Here is a 7,144-nt window from a genome sequence, read left to right on the forward strand (position 1 = left end):
TGGGCCTCCCTCCCTCACACTCCTGCAGAAGCTTCCACAAGACTGGTTGGGAAGGGGGGGCCGTGGAGGGTCAGCATCTGAGCTGGAGGCCTTTTTCCCCGGGCAGTCCTTGTCCCTGCTCAGCCACCAGCAGGGGCCACAGCCCAGTAGTGATGTTGCTGTGCCTTCAGGACAACCGCAACCTGAAGGAGCAGAACGAGGAGCTGAACGGGCAGATCATTACCCTCAGCATCCAGGGCGCCAAGAGCCTCTTCTCCACAGCCTTCTCTGAGTCCCTGGCTGCAGAGATCAGCTCCGTCTCCCGAGATGAGGTAACACATCCCGTGTCTGCACGGTGTGGCCTGGGGTCCACAGTCTGCACTGTCTGTGCGCTGTGGTTTATGCGCTGTGGCCTGTGGCCCATGCGCCTCAGCTCTGACCACCTGCTTGCCCTACAGCTCATGGAGGCGATTCAGAAGCAGGAGGAGATCAACTTCCGCCTGCAGGACTACATCGACAGGATCATCGTGGCCATCATGGAGACCAACCCGTCCATCCTGGAGGTCAAGTAGAGGCAGGAAGGTCCAGCCTGAGCTGGATTCGGGACTCCAACACCCTGGAGTGGTTCCGTCAGACCATGAGGAGCCAAGACCAGCAGGTCCCACAGCCGACAGTGCCCAGAGCATGCAGGGAACCCTCGTGCAGCTGAGCTGGGGCCGCCAAAGACCGGGGCTGCCAAAGGGGCAGAGGGTGGTGGAGAGGAGAGGGAGAAAGGGAAGTCCCAGGGCCCGGGGTCCACAGAGGATGAGGGTTGTGGCAGGGCCGTCCATCAGCGCTGACCTTCCGGGGGCCCAGAGCTTCCCAGCCCTGAGTCAAGCTGGCCATGAACGCGTACACTTCAGTTCAGCAGGATGGGCTGGAGAGCCTCTCTGTGCAGCGGTGTGGGGTGAGCCCTGCTGTGGCCTCCTTGTGGTGGTCCCTCTTCCCACGTGCAGCCCTGTTGGGAAGAAAGGAAGAAAACAGGTCCCTCCAGGGGTGCTGCTGCCTAAGCCACCCACATAAGTACGCTGGTGCCGTGTCACCCATGTTGAGCCGCTCCTGATGGCTGACGGGCTCCCAGACCCTCACCTCGGACATGGTGGTGGGGGAAGGACGGGTGGGCAAGGCTGGTGCGTTCCCCAGCTCTCCCTACGCTGCTCGGGCCATTGCCCAGCCAGATGTGGTCACCTCAGTCCAGCTCTGGGGCCTCCAGGCCATGTGGCTGTTCCCACGGCCCAGTCCTCGCTGCAGTAACCCCTGGGGGCTCTGACCACCTATGGGGGCCGGGCAGGAGCCTCTGGGGCCTCCACTCCGACATCAGGACCTGAGATGACCGCTGTGTGGCGCTCTCTCCCTGGGCAGGGTGGATGCCACAGGCCCCTCTGGCTCCCAGGTGCTGCTTCTCCACAGGTGCGGCCTGGCCCGGCCTCCTAAAGGCCACACCCTCCCCACGCACTTCCCAGGCCAGAATCCAAACATCGGGAACCCTGTTTTCTTCTGGGTGTGTCTCACTTAGAAATCGTGGTTCTTCCCCGAGGGTGCATGTTGCAGGAGGGAGAGGGCAGGGAAGACTCACAGCAGAGCAGGAGGGGGCCTGTGCTTCTCGGGGTCTGCACCCCAGGCACAGCGGTGTCACCCCGCAGGACCGCGGGCCTGCCCCAACCCCCAGCATTCCCGGGTGGGCCCAGACCCCATCACCAAGACTGGCCACCCGCTGCGTGTGTGTGCGCGCGCGTGTACGTGTGGCCCCACATCCGCCGCCTTCCACGCTAGGATGTAAGAGGTCGCCTCCTATTGTACATTTGGGGAAAGCCTTGGGTGTAAATCAGTGTAAACTTGGAGGAGAGATTTTTCTATCATGTAGAGTAGGTATTTTTTATAGATTGAAGGTTGATCAATTTTTTAATACTTTCAAGAGAAAACTGTGTATACACATGAAATATATATATATATATATATATATATATGTATAATATATAAAGACTGGCACCCTGCCTCTCTGTGCCCAGGCCCAGCCCTGGTGACATGGCACCACTCAGCAGTGCTGTCACTGTAAGCATGGACTCCCAGGAGACAGTGTGGGAAACGCTCCTGCTTTAATTCCCCGAGAAACGGCTCTTCCTGCCTGGATGCAGGAGGGCAGGGGCCACCACAGATTAAAGCTGTTACTGCACACGCAGAGGCCGGCTTCTTCCTCCAGGGGGGCCACAGGGTGGGGTGGGAGTCTTCTGGGCCTGGCCCAGCTTCCCTCAAGGCGTCCGAGGCCATCAGTTGTCTGAGCTCAGAACCCAGCAGACCTGCCTGGCTCTGCAGCTTGGTCAGACTAAGACCCTTCCAAGGCCGTAGGATTGCACCTCCAGGCCCAGTGGAGCCTGGCAGCTTTCCAGCCAGGTTCTGGATCCTGACGAGCTGCTGAGACAGCATCAAGGTGGGGCAGGTGGGGCGGGGCAAATTGGGCAGCACAGGGCTGTGTGGGCATCAGGGCTCTGGGTCACACGCCTCTGGGGACGTACGTCCCATGTCGGGAGAGCCGTCAAAACGTCCCCGGGATTAAGAGAAGAGTGGGGGGCAGGGCGCAGAGGCTCACGCCATAATCTCAGCACTTTGGGAGGCCAAGGCAGGAGGATCGCTTGAACCCGGGAGTTCAAGACCAGCCTGGGCAACATAGCAAGGCCCCATCTCTAAAAAATAAAAAATTAACCAGGCATTGTGGTGCGCACCTATAGTCCCAGTTCCTTGGGAGGCTGAGGTGGGAGAATTGCTTGAGTCCAGGAGACGGAGGTTACAGTGAGCTGTGATCACACCGCTGCACTCCAGCCTGGGCGACAGCGAGACCCCATTTCAGAAAGAATTTAAAAGGGCAGTGATGTGCAGGGTGGTGGGAGGACATCCCCCAGAAGAGGGGGCAGACACAGTACCAGCACCACAGGCACGGGAAGGTGAGGAGGCAGGTCCCGACGGAAGTGGGCTCCCGAGGTCATGGGCAGCCAGGGAGTCTGAGAGAGCTCAGTGCCACTGCAGCCACAAAGAATGGCCTGCGGGGAGTGGTCCCATCTGATCAAGAGTCCCCCAAAAACACAAGCCTTGAAAACTGGACCACCTGGTCCAGCATCCAGGAAGCGGACTGTGCATCTGCGGCTCTCGCTCTCCCGCCCCCCGCGCGAGATGCCCGCCTGCCTGTCACTCTCAGATGCAGATGGAGATGGAGAAACCAAGGCCCAGGGAAGCTGAGGACCCAGGTCTGCCAGTCCCCTCAGCCCAGCTGCTGCTTGCGGGCTGGTGACCAGAAGAGGACCAGGCGTGGCCTACAGTGAGGAGTCCTTGAACCCTCAGTGCAGGTGCAGCAGAATGGTTCCAGGTCACAGGGCCCAAGAACCCTGATTGCTTCATGAGTTAGAACTGAGGAGTGACAGGCCGGGCGCGGTGGCTCACGCCTGTAATCCCAGCACTTTGGGAGGCCCAGGCAGGCGGATCACAAGGTCAGGAAATCGAGACCATCCTGGCTAACATGGTGAAACCACGTCTCTACTAAAAATACAAAAAAATTAGCCGGGCGTGGTGGCCGGCACCTGTAGTCCCAGCTACTTGGGAGGCTGAGGCATGAGAATGGCGTGAACCTGGGAGGTGGAGCTTGCAGTGAGCAGCGATCACGCCACCGCACTCCAGCCTGGGCAACAGAGCGAGACTCCGTCTCAAAAAAAAAAAGAACTGAGGAGTGACATGGGCGGTGTGGGTGTGTCCAAGGCCAAGTTCCTCCTCCCAGGAAAAAGACCTGCTCTCCCACCTACCCAGGGGTCTGTGTGGTGCCAGTAAGACCCATCTCTGCCTAGAGGGAGAAGCTGGAGGTGGGGAGGGGAACTCACTCCACGCTGCCAGGCCAGAGCCAGGGAGGGGAAGGGGAGCAGCTTCCTCCTCCTGATACCCCACTGTGGTCTAGGAGCACCTCAGTTTCCACGCTAGATTTTAAACATGGGGCTGTCCACAGTCCAGCTGGCCCCACCTCGATGACCCACTGGGGTCTCCAGCCCAAAGGAGTTTGAGACAGGAGGACACAGGATGAAATGGAAACATTCCCGGAAGGGCTGCCAGAGACCTTGTGGGTGAGCGAGAGCAGGGTGGGGTGGCCGGTGTGCATGCCTGGTGGACGTGCCCAGAAGCCTGCACCCCCCAGGAGGCCCGAACGTGTCCCTCTGGAGTGTCGCCCCCACCCCCAGCTGTGCAGTGGGATGGTCACTGGGCCTGCCAAGTCTCCCAAGGCAGATCCTGTCCCCAGCTGGCTCCTGACATTGAATGTTCTGAGTCTTGGTCAGTTCTGCCCGATGGAAGAGCACCAAGGAGTCTTGCCCGGCAGGATAGAGAGGAGCGGCTCTGCCCCTGCCCTGGAACAAGAGCCCCGGACGTGGGTGCAGAGCCCCTCACATGAGGACCGCCCCATCCTGCCTCTGCTGAAGGGCAGGTATAGGAAGGCTGGACCCCCTCAGCGGCCCCCCGGATGTGGGTGCAGAGCCCCTCACATGAGGACCGCCCCAGCCTGCCTCTGCTGAAGGGCAGGTATAGGAAGTCTGGACCCCCTCAGCGGCCCCCCGGATGGCACCCTGGCCCCTCTACCTGCTGGCAGTCCAGTAACCTGGAGGTGGTGGCCCAGAGAAAGGCGGGAACTTCTCCCAGGGCCCCGTCCATTGTTATTTTCACCTGTCCGGCCGCCCATTCTTTTTTTGAGACGGACTCAGTCACCCAGGCTGGAGCGCCATGTGCCATCCCAGCTCACTGCAGCCTCAACCTCCCGGGCTCAAGTGATGCTCCTGCCTCTGCCTCCCAAGTAGCAGGGACCACAAGCACACACCACCACACCCTAATTATCTTTTAAGTGGAGACAGGTTTCGCTTTGTGTGTTGCCCAGGCTGGTGGTCCGTCGTCTTTTTGACCCAGGCCTGTGTGGCTCACAAAGCAGGCAATTGCAGGGTCATCCCATCAAATCTGAGCATGGCACCAGAGCACACAAGTCAGCCACCTGCGGGCCTTGGCACCCTCGTGCTCCACGCCAGGGTCCCTGTGTGCTCAAGTCTGGGCTCCATGATGGCACTGGGGTTTGTTCTGTTTGCTGCTTTGTGCGCGTGAGGCTTTCTCTGGGTGCCTGAACAGATGCCTCCAGTTTCAGTTCTTTCTGTTTGGCCCTCCCCATCCTCTTCTCCTCCAGGGGGGATTCATGGCTCGCCTCTTGGCTCTTCTGGGCACTTGGCGAGCTTCTGCGCACTTGCGTTAGCTGCTCAGGTCTGTCTGGATGTGAGAGTCGTGTCCTCAGGCCAGGAAGCACTGGCACGGAGCAGGGCTCGGTCAATGGTCTGGATAATCCAGAGTCACTTACCTTCTGCTGTGCAGTCATTTACAATTCACGCCTGTGTGCCTGATGTCTTGTGACTCAGAATCTTCAAGACAATCACAGGCTGGCCTCACGGAGGCACGAGTGACTCATTTCTCTCATCGCACCCATTCCCTCCAGCACTCTCCTTGTGCGGGGAAACCTCAGTCACCTTGAAGACGCCTCCTGAGGCCCTCTTCTGGGTGAATGGGCTTCCTCCTTCACCATGACAGGCTACTGGGGAGAGCTGGGGTGCTCCCACCCTCTCCTCACCCCAAATGGGCCTGGCCTAGCAAAACTGGCCAGAACTGGCCACTCTGCAGTGAGCTGGCAGGGCCCTCAGCATCAGATCAACAGGTTCAACTGCAGCTGCCTCTCTGGTGGGGAGGTTATAAGGCCTGCTGGCTAGACCACTGGCCCCTGGCCAGGGAGCCACCTAGGCAGTGCCAGGGAAGGACTGGGAAGGGAAGAGAACCTGCGGTCCCTGAGTGAGGCCTTGACTGCACCCTCTCCTGTGGTTCGAAAGCCACACTTGGCCAGTATCCTGCCATGCAGGTGAGGAAGCTGGGGAGGACAGGGTCCCAGAGCCTTGTCCAAGTTGCAGAGAGGAGAGCCAGCTCTCACTCTGCAGCCCTCTGTGCCCCCAGACCCCCACTGGCCCCCGGGGACACATTTCCTGCCCTTGGGATGCTTTGGCATGGATATAGTCTGGGAACAAACGGCACATCCAGCTGCCCTGCCTGTCTCCACAGAGGGGGCAGCAGACCTAGGGGGAGGTGTCCAAGACACAGGAATGAAGTGTCCTTACCAAAAGCTTCCGAGGACAGAAATAAACCCCTCCTGCCAGCTTCTGCACTGACTGCAGCTAGAAGCCGAGCTCCACGTGGGACACAGGTGTCCCTGCTGCGGCATCTCAGCATGACGGAGGCCCATCCTTGGCTTTCCTGGAGCATGAATATCCTCTGAGGAGCACTGGCCCTGGCCTTGTAGGTCTTGCTGAGACTGGCTTAGATTTTCTGGCCCAGGAGCAATCGTCACCCAACCTCCCACTTGTAAATCTCGCCACAGAATCGGCCCACAACCGTCTCTCCGGAATCTCGGCGGACCAGCCCTGCTCCTGTGTCTCCCTCTCCCGCAGAGCCACTGCCTTCTCAGGCTCCTCAAGTGCACCTAAGAGCGGGAGTCTGGCTGCCCTCAGCACTCGCGTCCCGCCCTGCAGCCTGATAAGCTTGACGCCAAGGCATTCTCCCGAGAGCCGGCCCAGCAGCTGCTGGCAGGAGAGTGGCCTCAGGGCAGCGGGAAGGGGACCTCCGGGGAGAGAATGAGGCCTGCGCAAGGGTCCTGGAAGGACCCAGGAGTCGCCCCGGCTTCCCTCCCCCAGGCCCTGGTTGGGCGCCGTGGGCCGCGTCCCAGTTGAGCCCGGCGTGGCCGTTTAATGGCGTCCCTCCGCGACCGAGGACGAAGGGGCCTAGAGAGGCTGTGCCCAAGCGACGCTGCGAGGCCAGGCCGCGTCTCGGGCCAGGGCGGTCCCCTTGCCACCGCCGCTCTTGGCCGCCAGGACCAAGCACAGCACGCAGCGTCGCGAAAGGGGCGGTCCTGGAAGGCGCGAAGGGGTCTCCGGGTCTCGCGAACACGGCGGGGTCGGGGCGGAGTCGTGGGTCCTCGGTCGAGCGGCCGCCCAGAGCCCCGCGGGACACGGACGGCCCCAGCCCGGCTCCCCGCGAGCCCCACGCGTCTGTGACGCCGCTGATGCGCAGACGCCGCGGC

The 7,144-nt window shown here is 60.8% G+C and overlaps 1 protein-coding gene and 1 long non-coding RNA gene across 9 annotated transcripts in view, besides 1 other annotated feature; one reads left to right on the forward strand and one right to left on the reverse strand.

The window, feature by feature from the left end:
- The window catches only part of RAB11FIP3 (RAB11 family interacting protein 3), a 97,363-nt gene extending 94,640 nt beyond the window's left edge, over positions 1-2,723 (forward strand). For all 8 annotated transcript variants that reach the window (NM_001370401.1, NM_014700.4, XM_011522765.3 and 5 more), the window contains 2 exons: positions 171-311; positions 438-2,723. In NM_001370401.1, coding sequence (NP_001357330.1) covers positions 171-311; positions 438-551 — 255 coding nt within the window. In that variant the 3' untranslated portion in view covers positions 552-2,723. The remainder of the gene's footprint in view (positions 1-170; positions 312-437) is intronic.
- Positions 5,983-6,544: an enhancer, noted in NCBI's record as "H3K4me1 hESC enhancer chr16:576271-576832 (GRCh37/hg19 assembly coordinates)". NCBI's record gives its function as "activates a minimal SCP1, AML or CMV promoter by ChIP-STARR-seq in primed H9 embryonic stem cells {active_cell/tissue: H9 hESC(primed)}" and the evidence as "EXISTENCE:reporter gene assay evidence [ECO:0000049][PMID:30033119]".
- On the reverse strand, positions 6,559-7,119 carry LINC00235 (long intergenic non-protein coding RNA 235). Its single transcript, NR_024121.1, has one exon. It is a non-coding gene; the product is annotated as a long intergenic non-protein coding RNA 235 (long non-coding RNA).
- Between the last annotated feature and the right edge of the window lie 25 nt (positions 7,120-7,144).

Source organism: Homo sapiens, chromosome 16 (genome assembly GCF_000001405.40).
Source record: "Homo sapiens chromosome 16, GRCh38.p14 Primary Assembly".
Lineage (NCBI taxonomy): Eukaryota > Metazoa > Chordata > Mammalia > Primates > Hominidae > Homo > Homo sapiens.